Below are 14464 nucleotides of genomic sequence, written 5' to 3' on the forward strand. Positions count from 1 at the left end.
GATTATTCTTGCCCAGGCCAATGAATCATTTTATTGGGCACAGAGTTCTATGCAGGTATCCTGTCTGGTACCTGGGTGGGTTTTGGGTATTGTTGGCTGCTCCTTGGATCTGGGAGTCCAGTTTTCATTCCTCTGAACTCACTTCCTAAAGCTGTGTGCATTTAGCTAGCAGCCTTGGTCTCAGGTGATCTAGTCATTACAGCCTACAGGATCAGATTCAGCTGTAACCCAAAGGTCATGAGCAGAAGGAACAGCTCCACCAGTCCCTTGCATTGTTTGAGGAGATTTTTTACCATCTTCCAGTTTAATTATGAGATGTGGCTTCTGGGCAAGAAAGCAAGTGAGATCTACTTTCTGCATTTTGTTTTGTTGATAATTGAATCATAGTAATTAAGTAATCATGCCGGGTGTAAGCAATAACTTTTATGAACATTAAGATAGTGCATTTCATAACATCTAAATGCTTTGTTTGTTAAAGTTCACTTTTGAGAAATTGCAATCAGTGTTGGGAAAACACTATTAATTTGAAGGTGTGGAAGAGAGAGATAAGGTACCTCATTTAGAATTGTATATGTCAGGTAACTATTATCTCTGGGAAGCAGTGAAGGTGTCTTATTTAATAAATCTCAGAATCTATACAAGCCATAAACCAGTATTTACATATATGGGTATAGAGATATCTGTATACATGTGCACATATATTATTTTAGCCATGTTCTAGACACTTAACAAAGATGGGATTGCATTGACTGGCCGCTTGTAGTGTAAAAGAGAAAATGTAAACTGTAATCAGTGTTTCATTTAAATTTATAAATGCACTGTATTTTTTATTTTGATGAATGGGAACAAATTATTAAGGTAATAATACATTAGCTATAACTATGTTTAAATAAGTCCAGGGAATCAGGTCTCCCTATTAATTTTCAAAGTGTAAGATGCTATCCATCCACATTGTAGATATTAGGAACTGTTGAAACTCTATGTAAATATAGTAAAAATTTGTTGCAAATGGAAATATGAAGTAATTGCTAGAACTTTTTTTTTGTATTGATAGCATTAAGTATTAAGGCTAGCTGTTGCAGTAGCTATAACCTAGTTATAGCAATATGCATGTGGTTGACTGGTATGTGCTTTGCCACAAAATAGAAGAAAGAATCCTCCAGGAGAAATATTTTGCAAATCTGCTTTTCAACAGTAATTAGAAGATGGGTGATATTTTGCTACTGTTCATAAGTGTTTCTCTTAATATTTTGACTGGTTCAAAGGAAAGAAGGGCCAATATCCATCATATATTGTTAGGGAACATGTTTTAGGATTGCAGAGTGAGAAAATAGAGACTACATCTTGCTATCCACATTTTCCACTTTTCTCTCAGACAGATCCTGATTGTCATCCCTGTTTAGCCTCCTGCCTTTTTACTCAACTCTTCCCCCTACCTGGATGGCTTTTCCTTCTTTTGATCCCAACTTTCCCTTCCTTTGATCTCAGCTAAACTCCTTCAGTTAGCCTACACTTCCATCTTTTATTCTCTCAACTTTTCTTTTCCATAGGGTCATAATTATACTGCACATAACTTGGGTATCCTCTAATCATTACAAATAATAGCCATTGTTCCTAGCAAAAATGTGTGTTTATGGCAGCAATTACATTTTATGTATCTTTGGTTAGTCCCTGCACAGTGTTAGCTTATAGTAGGTGCTCACCCAATATCTGTATTTTCTCTTTTTTTTTTCAAGATCTAAATACAATTATATTTTTAAACGTTGGGTCCAGGCTTTACATAAAAATATCATCCTACTTTGCCCCCTAAGTTTCTAAAATATCACGTACTTTTCCCCCAACATCTGCAGCCATCCAGAAATTTGTTGGAAACTTTTTTGCATTATTTTAATTCCTAATCCCTGCCTCTTTGGGCTCAGTGACAAACAATCAAAACCACCAAAAATGTGGTTCACTCGAAGTCAGATGAGAGAGCCTGGCTCAATTAATCTTATAGGATGTAAGCAGTGCTGCATCAACTGGCTCCATGCAGGAGGGACACGTGAAGGATCTCATCAACCAGTTATCTATATAATCCTCATGATAAATGTGCATGCATGGCAGAAACTGAATCAGGTCCCCATAAACAAAGTCCATCATACAGATCACATACTCCCAGATCTTTGTTTCTGATCTGATCTATCTCTTCCAGGGTCATAAATCCCTTCAGGCAGATGTTGTATAAGGCTTATTCTTTGAGCTGTTGTATTTTGCTTCAGTCAACTGAGCTGCAAATCGAGTCTGGCTAGGTGTTGGATGGTAGAGCAAAACTGGAACTTTTTCCTGATGTGACAGCAGTGGCTCCTGATCTGGCTGTCTCCTCGCCAGAGCTAGCCTGGTGGGACTGAGATACGTGAAGCAGAGAGATGTCATCCGAGGAGTGGAATTATCAGACTGCACTGTAATTGCTTGTTGAATCAGTTATCTGTTATTGCTTAACAAACCACTCCAAAACTTGGTGGCTTAAAACAACTTACTATTTCCCATGATCCTGTAGCTTGGTTGGGCTCAGCTGGGAGATTCTCCTCGATTGTGTACCTGAGGTCACTCATACAGTTGCATTCAGCTGAGAACTTAAGAGGGGCTGGAATTTCCAAAATGGCTTCTCTTTTTCCAGCGTCTCCTCTGTATGGCTCTAATCATCCTGCAGTCTCGTGTGGACTTGGCATCACCATGCTGGGCTCCAAGATGGGGGAGTGAAAGTACCAGTCCTCCTGAGGGATAGAGTAGTAATCCCAGATATTACTTCCACTGCATTTGGTTGCTCAAAGCAAATCAAAAGGCCAACTCAGAATTAAAGTGATGGTAAAATAGACTACACCTCTTGATAAGAGGAGAGGCAAAGCCACGTCGCAAAGGGGCTTGTGTAAAAAATTGGAGGAATTATTGGGGCCATATTTGGAGACTTGGCCCCTTCACATTTTGTATCTGACTTTCTCATAAGACTTTTATTTCTTCAGAGCAAGGGCTATGCCTTCTTCACGTTTTCAGAATCAGAGTATGAAAAATATTTGCTGTTTCTTGAGTAAATGATTACTCCATGATAGTTTTCCCTCTACCCCAACTGCCAATTATAAACTCAGATTTACATTCAGAATACTGGTGTGAAGCATTTCTACTATATCTTTTTTTTTCAATCATTTTCACCTTTTGCATTTATCTTATAAATCTAACACTATAAAATACATTATCTGGCCGGGCGCGGTGGCTCACGCCTGTAATCCCAGCACTTTGGGAGGCTGAGGCGGGCGGATCACGAGGTCAGGAGATCGAGACCATCCCGGCTAAAACGGTGAAACCCCGTCTCTACTAAAAATACAAAAAATTAGCCGGGCGTAGTGGCGGGCGCCTGTTGTCCCAGCTACTTGGGAGGCTGAGGCGGGAGAATGGCGTGAACCCGGGAGGCGGAGCTTGCAGTGAGCCGAGATCCCGCCACTGCACTCCAGCCTGGGCGACAGAGTGAGACTCCGTCTCAAAAAAAAAAAAAAAAAAAAAATACATTATCTTAGTTTTTTTTTTTTAGATTAGAATGCTGGCAATTCACTGGGAAGTGATCCCTGGAAGTATTAAATGAACAGAGGAGTGGGAGAAGTAAAAAAGGGAATGGATGAGGCTAAAAAAAGGGTGACAAGCAAATTAACCTGGAGCAACTGGGGTTGTTTCTACTGGGGAACTCTGCACGTGCCTCGGAGCTATCCCACCTGAAGGGTGAGAGCACTGGAGGACATGAATTTCCCAGAAGTTATGGTGCTCCATGATTACAGGCAAAGCAAGCCCACTCTAGTGGCCAGAGAGAGCCCTCAGGCAAAGAGACACATGTTCTAGAAGTCATACCAACAGCACTGAATGGTCCAAGTCATGGAGATCTGGGCAGTGCACCAGCAATGACTGCCATGCACACCATTCTCGTCTGAGACATTATCAGAGAACAAACCACACTCAATTTATTGGTGGTATCAAGTATCTAATGAGTTTATAGGCTGGGCTAGAATCTATATTTGGGGGGAGAGGAGGAATTACTTAAGAAGGTAGTTTCTTCATATGTTCTTTGACCCCTTTAACTGTTAATATCATATTGTCCTAACAAAATAATGAAATAGAAAAAAGTAGACCTAAGAATAAATACTGTATATACTAGTTTTCTTTTAAATTAAAATTATTAATGTGTTTTGTAAACTGTTCTTATCACCTGTTTTATATGTAAATAAGTAATATTTTTACATCAAGCATTTTTAATTGTTTATTGCCTTGCTGTAAAATTGATTGTTATGATTATTTTAGTAATTTTTATGTGATTTCTTTTAAATCACATAGGGATAATTATGCTTGGCAGATTACTTCTACTTTTTTTTTTCAGATGTTTTCAAGGCAGAGTCAGAATTAATAAATTTTAGCCCTCTGCCCAATCCATGATAAGAAGGTAAGATTTAGTCATTGATTCACTCAGCATTTACCAGGTATTTATCTTATGTCAGTCACTGTGCTAGGTGCTAGAGATGCAAAAAGGAATACAATGTGATCTTTGCCCTTGAAAAACTCAAATCTTAGAGTCATTCAAATATCACTGTGGTGAAATCTCTTAATTTATCACCATTGTTAGTAATGCATAGTATTACTGACACATTGATAACCATTTTCATATCAATCACACCTTTTTATAACCATAACCATTTTCATATGAATTACACCTTTTTTTTTTTTTTAAGATGGAGTCTTGCTCTGTCACCCAGGCTGGAGTGCAGTGGTGCCATCTTGGCTCACTGCAACCTCCACCTCCCAGGTTCAAGCAATTCTTCTGCCTCCTGAGTAGCTGGGATTACAGGCGGGTGCCACCATGTCCAGCTAATTTTTGTATTTTTAGTATAGACGGGGTTTCACCATGTTGGCCAGTCTGGTCTGGAACTCCTGACCTCAGGTGATCCGCCTGCCTCGGCTTCCCAAAGTGTTGGGATTACAGGTGTGAGCCACTGCACCCAGCCCAATTACACCTTTAAGCCCATGTAGTCAATCATTCAGCTCCACCTCTAATTTAATGGCCTTCCTTTCCCTGTCCCTTCCTTCCCTTCCCTGTCTCTTCCTTCACTTTCCTTCCCTTCTCTTTCTGCTATAGACTGAATGTTTGTGTCCCTCTGAAAATTTTTATGTTGAAATCCTAATACCCTATGTGATTGTATTAGGAGGTGGGGCCTTTGGAAGATAATTAGGTCATTTGGAGACCTCCCTCCCTCTTCAGCCATGCGAGGTCACAGTGAGAAGAGAAGACATAAGTCTGTGAACCAGAAAGCAGTCTCTCACCAGACACCAAATCTGCCAGTGCCTTGAACTTAGACGTTCCTACCACCAGAACTGTGAGAAATAAATTTCCCCCTCCTACTAAATAGTTTTAGCTAAAAGGAGTACCAAGAAAAGCCCTGTCTCCTATTTGGAAAGAAACATAAGGGCTTTGGACTCTAAATTCACAAAAGCAGCATTTATAGTTTACATCTATTGTTGCACATCATTGTAACTCCAGTGCCTGGAAAAGTATCTGATCATAGTCAGTATTCAATGGCCTTAGGTGGAAACTGAAAGCAAGGAGGCATAGTAGAGTGTGATTAGAGGTGTTGACTGGAGATTTGCATGTTTTATCAGTAGCAGTTTTTTTTTTTTTTTGAGGCCTAATGATGCTCTGCTTCCTCATGAATTTCATTCCAAATGAAGACAGTAACTAATTGCATTATTTTTTGAACTGCTTATATTTGCTGTTACCCTTTCTTTTATGCAGAAGATATTCAAGTTGGAGAGGGAAATTATGATTTTTTTTTCCTTTTTCAATGAATGTAACTGTTAATAGGTTTGGATGAGTAACTTCTGTGATATAAGGTCTCCGTACAAGCAGTTATCATGCTCTGTCAGTCTTTCTATGCAATTTTATCATGTAGATTGTTTTGGGAAACATGAAAATTAAGATTTAATTTGTCCTAGGAATTGGATCCAAAATGTAATGGAATTGGTTCCTTAATGCAGTGCATAGTTGTAGAGTATAGTGTAAATTAAATCAACTTGTGCTTCAATAATCTCTTTATTAGTTTTCAAATATTGATTTAAATAATGATATTAAATTGTGTATAGTTGAAAAGATGGCATTGCTTTCACTGCAATAGATGAATGTCATGAAAATGTTCTTCTCTTGTAATGGAATCAGATGTAGAACATGATAAAGAACAGTTCTCTTCACACCTCATAATTTCTGACATAGTAAGTTATGTTGAGGAAAATAGGCACATTATATTGACAATATATTTTTGTTTACAAATATGCCAGGTGGCCTGGTGTACAGATTGATTGAGGGTGATCACTACTGCCCATCACAACTATTACCTTTTGCAAAGATGGCCGAAGTGGAAGGGAAAACTTCCCTGCACAACTTTTGTGGTGGATTACTGTTGAGATATAGCTATGCATTGGATGTTTTGGAAAAGGAATATATAAGAATAGACCTTTGTATTTATTGAGGAAAATTAAAATTATAAAAGATAAAAAGGCAACTTAATATTCTCTCATTTAAATTTTAATTAACTTTCAATTTTGAATGGTGTTTTCCTGAGCTGTTATCCAGTTTCTGCTCTAAAGTTGGCTGTAATTTTATAACATTCTTTTGATGACTGTATGTGCATGAATATGTCTGTAGTTATTTTGAAGGTAAAACTCTACTTATTTCACTTTTTTGAGTGAAGTATTAAATTGTTTTCAAGATAGCAGTGACTGAATATTGCACTTAATACAAATGTTTAATTTCTTTAATCCTTTTTACAGATAAAAGTATATGCTTTTTATCCTTTTCCTTAAAATGACAAAGGCTTCTCCTCAGGGAGATCAGAAAGCATAATGACTGGCATGCTGAACCTGGTATCTGAACATTTGTTTTTTATTCTTTATTTCATGTGACCTTGGAATAATTCAGTGGCTCCTAGATTTTCTCAAAAATGACTCAATTTTTCATTCATTTCATTTAAATGACCCTTTGAGTTATCTCGTATGCTACCTGTTTTTATCTTTATAATACAGTAAAATTTAAACTATTCATATCTCTATGTGGGGGTGGGGGTGGGGGCAGATAAGGGTCATAGAGAAGGCACCTCTTTCTCAGAAAAGTAGCAAATGACCACCCTCCATCCCAAAATAGATTTAGCTACAAGAAGAGTAAAGTGCACATGGAAGAACAAAAAAGCCTTTTGGTGTACAAGGATTTCAGACTTTGTTGGGCTTCAGCATCAGTAGAGAGTCTTATTAAAAACACTGTCATACATCACTTAAAGACAAGGATATGTTCTGAAAAAAACAGATCATTAGGCAATTATGTTGTTGTGTGAACATCATAGAGTGAACCGACAAAAGCCTAGATGGGATAGCCTACTATGTACCTAGGCTATATGGTATAGCCTGCTGCTCCTAGGCTACAAACTTGTACAGCATGTTACTGTAGTGAATACTGTAGGCAATTGTAACAAAATGGTAAGTATTGTGTGTCTAAGCATATCTAAACATAGAAAAGGTACAGTAAAAATTTGACACAAAAGATTAAGAAATGGTAATTGTGTATAGGGCACTTACCATGAATGGAGCTTGCAGGACTGAAAGTTGCTTTGGATGAGTCAGTGAGTTAGTGGTGAGTGAATGTGAAGGACTAGGACATTGCTGTATACTACTGTAGACTTTTATAAACACAGTGAACTTAGGCTACGTTAAATGTATTAAAAATATTTTTTCTTTCCCCAATAATAAATTAACTATAGCTTATTGTAACTTTTTTATGTTATATACTTTTAATTATTTTTAACTTTTTTACTATTTTGTAATAATACTTAGATTAAAACACAAATACATTGTACAGTTGTACAAAATTTTTTTCTTTATATCCTTATTTTATAAGCTTTTTTCTATATTAAAATTTCTTTTTTTTTACTTAATTTTTTTTTGTTAAAAACTAATACAGAAACACTCACACTAGTCCAGGCATACACAGGACCAGGGTCATCAATATCACTGTCTTCCACCTCCACATCTTTTCCCAGTGGAATGTCTTCAGGGCCAATACATGCATGGAACTGTCATCTCCTATGATAATAGTGTCTTCTTCTGGAATACCTCCTAAAGGACCTGCCTGAGGCTGTTTTCTAGTTAACTTTTTTTTTTTTTTTTTTTTAGTAAGTAGAAGAATTATACTCTGAAACAGCAATCAATAGTATGGTAGATACAGAAAGCAGTAACATAGTCTTTCATTATCAATTATTATGTACTGTAAATAATTGTATGTACTATACTTTTGTATGACTGGCAGCACAGTAGGTTTGTTTACATCAGTATCATTCATTGTGCTATGATGTCATGATGGCTATGGCATTTCTATGCAATGGGAACTTTTCAGCTCCACTATAATCTTATGGGATCACCTTGTATATGCAGTCCATCAATGATCAAAATGTTATGTAGTGCATGACTGCACCTACTCCAAAACTACAGAAGTGGAATTTAGAGTCATGGGAAGCTGGATAATGACCATCAAAGTTGGTCTTACATGAGGTAGGACCTGGTCCAATTTGAAGTAAGAAATCAGGGAACTTTCCTTCAACACTTATTTCCTTCCATGGTCTAAGACATTTCAAAATTCTGAGCATGGTTTTCCATTTATCACAGAGTTTAAGTTACTATTCAGTGTTGAAATTCCTGGCCCTCAATGGCATTATGAATCAGCTGTTCATAGAACTCAACTTTCTTGAATGGGCCATTTCCCAGGTCTTCTACAGCTGTTTTGCTCATTTTTAATCCCTTCATTTGCCAGCTTAATATTTGCTAGCTGCTGTTATTGGGGAATTCAGTTTTTCCCCCATGTCCCTATCTTTTGCCAGTTTTTCTCTTCATTCCTCAAAATCAGTAGTTCTCCTTTCTCAAAGGTTGCCTATGAATCATCCATGATTTGTATATCACCCTTTGGGAAACACGAATATTTTCAGAACCCTCATTTCTCTGTCGTTAAATGAGGTCAATAATGACTGCTGACGTTTCCTTTGACTCTGAAGGGCGTGGTCAGGCTAGATGAGAAAATTCTTACAGAATGTGGTGTGCTGTGCTGCTGTCGCCACTTTGCTGGGAGACTGAAGCTCAGACAGCTAAGCGATTTGCCAGGGCTGTGCAACCCATCTGTGGTGGGAATTCCAGAATTCCAACCTGGAGAATCTGACTTACTCTTTTGGAGAACATTATATTTGATAAACTGGAATCATTGTTTTGAGTGCTCCCATGGCTCTGTAGGCCAAAACAGTAGAACTTATGACAGTAGTTTGGTCTTCAGGAACTCCACTTAACCCCAAACTACCCTCCAGTTTTCAGAGAGCACTGGGGAAAAGGGAGGGATGAGTGTGTATTGAATTATCTGAATTCTGCCACTTATGCCTAAGAGATATGTATGAGAGAATCTTTACATTTTGTACACATTATTCTAAAATTCCTTTTAGTCCTTAAACAACTCTCAGGGGGAAAATAGTACAGAATTAAAATAAAAGTTCTTAACATTTGTCCCTGAATATATTTTTAGAAAAAGTATACTTGAAATCTGATCACCTATAAGGAAAGATTTATCAGGAGAGTTTAAATTTTTATATTTACTCATATTAAATGCATGTGTGTTTTGAGACCAAGGTTTTTTGTTTGTTTTAATATTTTGGGGAGACATACTTCCTTCAAATATATAGGTTAGAGGTAGGGGGTAGGGATGGTTAGTGGTATAAAAAAAAACAGAAAGAATGAATAAGACATACTGTTTGATAGTACAGCAAGGTGACTGTAGTCAACAATGACTTAATTGTATATTTTAAAAAACTACAAGAGTGTAATTGGGTTAGGGTTTGTAACACAAAGAATAAATGCTTGAGGGGAGGGATACCCCATTCTCCATGATGTGATTATTTTACATTGCATATGCCCGTATCAAAACATCTCATGTACTCCACAAACATATACACTATGTACCCCCAAAAACTTAAAGAATATATAAGTTTAAATTAGAATTCCCCCAAATTCTAGTAGTAGAATATATTCTTTTAAAATTCTAGTAGAATTTGGGAGAATTCTAATTTAAACCAATTCTGGTGTTCCTGAGTTATGTGAGCTCCTCCAAGTTCCACTGTTTTGTCATTGCCAACTCAGGGAGTCAAATATGTACTTATTTAGCATTTTCTGAGCCAGGTACTGGCTCTGAGAGGTACATACTTTCATTTAATTCTTCAAGAGAATTAAAAGCAAACGGAGCCCATATGTTATAGACAAGGAAACTGAGGTTCTGAGATGTTGAGTAGCTTACTCAAGGTTGACCTGAGACTCTAAATTAGGTTCATCCTCCTTGAAGACACCTATATTCCTTTTGTTCTCATAAAATAGCACATCCAGCCAGCATTCCATCCCAGATATTGGCACTAAGGAGAGGCGTGGGAAAGGGCATGGACACTTTCTGTTAGGTACATGGGGGACGTTGTGCTCTAGCTTATACATGACTGTAAAGGCGCAAATGAAAACTCTTCCTTTATTAGTACATTTTCTTTTGCATGGTTATCTGGGATGAGTATGTGGTGAGGTGGGGCTGTGGGAGGAAGCTGCTGCAATTAGTTTTGCCTCAGGTAGAATGCTGACATCAGTTGTAATGAGATTAAAATCTTCTACTCAGCTGTTGCTTGAAATATTCTATTGTGTTCTCATCCAACTATTTTAACTAATTGAAGTGACTTAACCATATAATTATTTTCAAATGTTTACAATTACTTTTAGATAAATATAAATGAATGTTTGCCTGCATATGAACAACAAAAGGAATAATCTGGTACCTTCACCCAAATAGTCAAACCCTCTAAGATATTGGTAGAAACATCAGAGTGTATCAGTGAAGGTCAAAGGACACAAATAGGCATTTTTAAATACTAAAATGAAATATTACTTTCAGTTCCACCAAAATGGAGTAGCCTCATTCCTTCCGGGTTCTCTCCCTTATAACTAAAAATTTCTAGATACAGTGCTACGAAGATGGCAAGGAAGTCTCTCAAAGATCAAAAGAAGAGGGTGAACTGCTAGGAATTTTTGGAACTTGAACTACAAAGCAGTGAGTTCCTTGAATTTTTGTGTTATCTGTCATATATCCTGAGCTAGGTGCTACAGAAGCCTCCAAACTGCCAGAACTGCCAGAAAGTACAGATAAAGAAGCTCCAAGAAAGTCTTGTTTTCTTTAGGCAAAGGACCAGGTGAAGGGTGGCTTTACACCAGAAAATTTTTGGCAGTATCTGCCAAACACCACTGGAAAACTCACATCTTACTCCCTCCATGATTTCAGTGGTGCTAAACAGAATTTGATCCCGTCATTCCCATACATTGATACTGTTAGACTTGATGAGTTACATGGGTATATTGTTATTTTCTAGAGCAGCTGCTAGGAAAACTATCCAAAGCAATATACTTTTGAAAAGATAAAGAAATCAAGATAGAAATTTTTAATATGATCAAGTCACCCAAAGGAAAGTAAGAGAAACAGAGGAAACAAAGAGAAAACAAGTAATAAAATGACAGTCTTAAGCCCTAGTATGTTAATAAACCCAATTTTATTACTTTAAATTTAAATGATCTATGGAAATGCAAGGGACCCAGGATAGTTTAAACAGTTTTGAAATGAAAGAACCAAGTTTGAATACTTAGATTTTCTGATTTTAAAACTGTAAAACTATGGTAATGAAGACAACATGGGGCTGGCCTAAGGATAAACAGATAGATTGATGGAATAGAATTAAGAGTCCAGAAATAAAGCCTTCCATTGATGTCCAATTGATTTGCAACCAGAGTGCCAAGACAATTCAATGGGAGAAAGAATAGTGTTTTTGACAAATGGTACTGGGTTAACTGGATATCCACATGCAAAAGAATGAAGTTAGATCCCTTCCTTACACCATATATAAAAATTAACTCCGAATGGATCATAGATCTAAGTGGAAGAACTAAAGCTATAAAACTCTCAGAAGAAAGCATAGGTGTAAAATTCATGACCTTGCGCAATGAATTCTTAGATATGATACCAAAAGTACAAGCACTGACAACAAAAAGAAAGATACATACACTGGACTTTATCTAAATTGAAACTTTTGTGTTTCAAATCACACCACAAAGAAAGTAAAATACAGGTCACAAAATGGGAGAAAATATTTGTAAAGCATACATCTGATAAGAAACTTGTATCCAAAATACATAAAGTACTCATATACCTCATTAATTAAAAGACAGATAACACAATTTTGGATTAGGCAAGGGTTCTGAATAGATATTTCTCCATATAAGTTATTCAAATTGCTAATAAGCACATGAAAAGATGCTGAACATCATTAGCTCTCAGGGAAATGTAAATCAAAACCACAATGAGAAGCCACTTTCATTCAGTAGGATAGCTATTACCAAAAAAGACAGATAATAAGAATTGTTGACCAAGATAAGGAGAAATTAGAACACTTACCCATTGCTGGTGGGATTGTAAGATGGTGCAGTCACTGTGAAAAATGGTATAGCAGTTCATCAAATTGTTAAACATAGAATTACTATATTAGCTGGCAATTCTACTCATAGGTATATACCCAAGAGATTAAAAAAATTTACATAAAAACTTGCACATTAATTTTCATACCAGTGTTATTCATAATAGCCCCAAAATGGAACAACTTAAATGTCCATCATCTCATGAATGGATAAACAAAATATATCCATAAAATGGAAAATTGTTCATGCTTAAAAAGGAATCAAGTACTGATACAAGACAAATGAACTTTGGAAAACTTACGCTGAATGAAAAAAAAGCTAGTCATAAAAGACTACATATTGTATGATTCCATTTATATGAAATGTCTAGAATAGGCAAATCTGTAGAGGCCGTAAGCAGATTACTGATTGTTGGGGGAAATAGGGAGTGAATACAAATGGCATGAGTTTCTTTGGCGGATGAAGAAAATGTTCAGAAATTGATTGTGGTGATGGTTGAAAGAGTCTATGAACATACAAAAACCATTTAATCGTGTATTTTTAAAGGGCCTGGTATGTGAATCAATAAAGCTAAAAATGTAAATGGTCTAAATAAACTAATTAAAAGACAGATTTTGACATAATAGATAAAAAACATGACCCAACCATATGCTGTCTATAAAAAATTTGCTTCAAATACAACAATATAGGTAGGTAGAAAGTAAAAGCATGGAAAAATATATACCATGTAAACATGAATTTAAGAAAAAAATTGTTATATTCTTACCGATAAACTTCAGAGGAGAGAAACATTATTAGAGCTAAAGAGAGACATTGTATAATTATAAAAAGAACAATTTATCAGGAAAACATAACTATTGCAAATGTGTGCACATCAAATAATAGTGCCTGGAAATATGTGAAGCAAAATGAAACATTACATCTAAATTTTCTTAAATTCTTTAAACCTTACTCCACGTATAATAGTCTTTAATTATGGCATAAACTAAAAGATTTATGTCTATACTAAGTTTCATTCCTGAAAGAGCTGCTTCTGTCTTTTTATCCTCAAAATACAATACTGTATTAGGTATTGAAGTGTTTGTGTATGTGTATGTGTGTATTTATACCATATAGACAAGGTCTATGATTCTGTAATCATAGAACTTACAGTGATGTGATCCTTTTCAAGCTTCATATTATAACACACACACAGACACAAAGATTCACAAATGTACTGAATCGATTTAATTCCATGAGTTGTAACGTTCTTGATACCATATTTGTTCTAAAGCAGCATTTCTTAGTAATTAAAATGAATGAGAAGATCTCTACCTAAAGAGATAGTATGAACTTTAAAAGCAGAAGCAGAGTTCAGTATTTATATTTGGTAGCAATAAACTACCTGTTAGAAATATTTATCAAGTGAAGATATAATTGCCTGCTTTGTCTGTGAACCTCATAAGTACAAAAATTGTGTTCTTTGAATTTACACTTTTTAAGGGATGTATGTTAAACATTTTAGCAGTGTATTTTTTTAAATTAAAATATATGAATTTAATTTACACAAATAATTTATTTTACATAAAAACATTCTAGCTAGCATCTAGCAGTTTTAATACCTTATACATTTTAATCATATCTGCTAGAACAAGTAATCTCTAGAGTGGTCAGCTATGGAAGAGGATAAAGTTAGTAGACCTACTAACTTTATAGCTCATATATATTTTGGTTATATACTCGAATTCCTATTACTCGATGCTTCAAGCATTATCTTTTAACCTCTGTATACAAAATTAGAATGTCAGCACGTTTACACTTTTCTACTTGTTCTCCCTCTACTTTCTGTTTTTATAACTTACTGATACTAAAATGTTCAAAGCTTATAGTATTTTTATGTTCTGTA

General features: G+C 35.9%; 1 protein-coding gene, 1 long non-coding RNA gene and 1 pseudogene across 4 annotated transcripts in view; 2 read left to right on the forward strand and 1 right to left on the reverse strand.

The window, feature by feature from the left end:
• MACROD2 (mono-ADP ribosylhydrolase 2) overlaps positions 1-14464 on the forward strand; it is a 2057682-nt gene that overhangs the window by 549689 nt on the left and 1493529 nt on the right. The gene's annotated exons all lie outside the window — the stretch shown is intronic.
• Positions 1785-2427, reverse strand: RNF11P2 (ring finger protein 11 pseudogene 2; annotated as a pseudogene).
• MACROD2-IT1 (MACROD2 intronic transcript 1) overlaps positions 9180-14464 on the forward strand; it is a 74525-nt gene continuing 69240 nt past the window's right edge. The window contains exon 1 of the long non-coding RNA NR_104193.2: positions 9180-9224. This is a non-coding gene — a long non-coding RNA (MACROD2 intronic transcript 1). The remainder of the gene's footprint in view (positions 9225-14464) is intronic.

Source organism: Homo sapiens, chromosome 20 (assembly GCF_000001405.40).
Source record: "Homo sapiens chromosome 20, GRCh38.p14 Primary Assembly".
In the NCBI taxonomy this organism is placed as follows: Eukaryota; Metazoa; Chordata; class Mammalia; order Primates; family Hominidae; genus Homo; species Homo sapiens.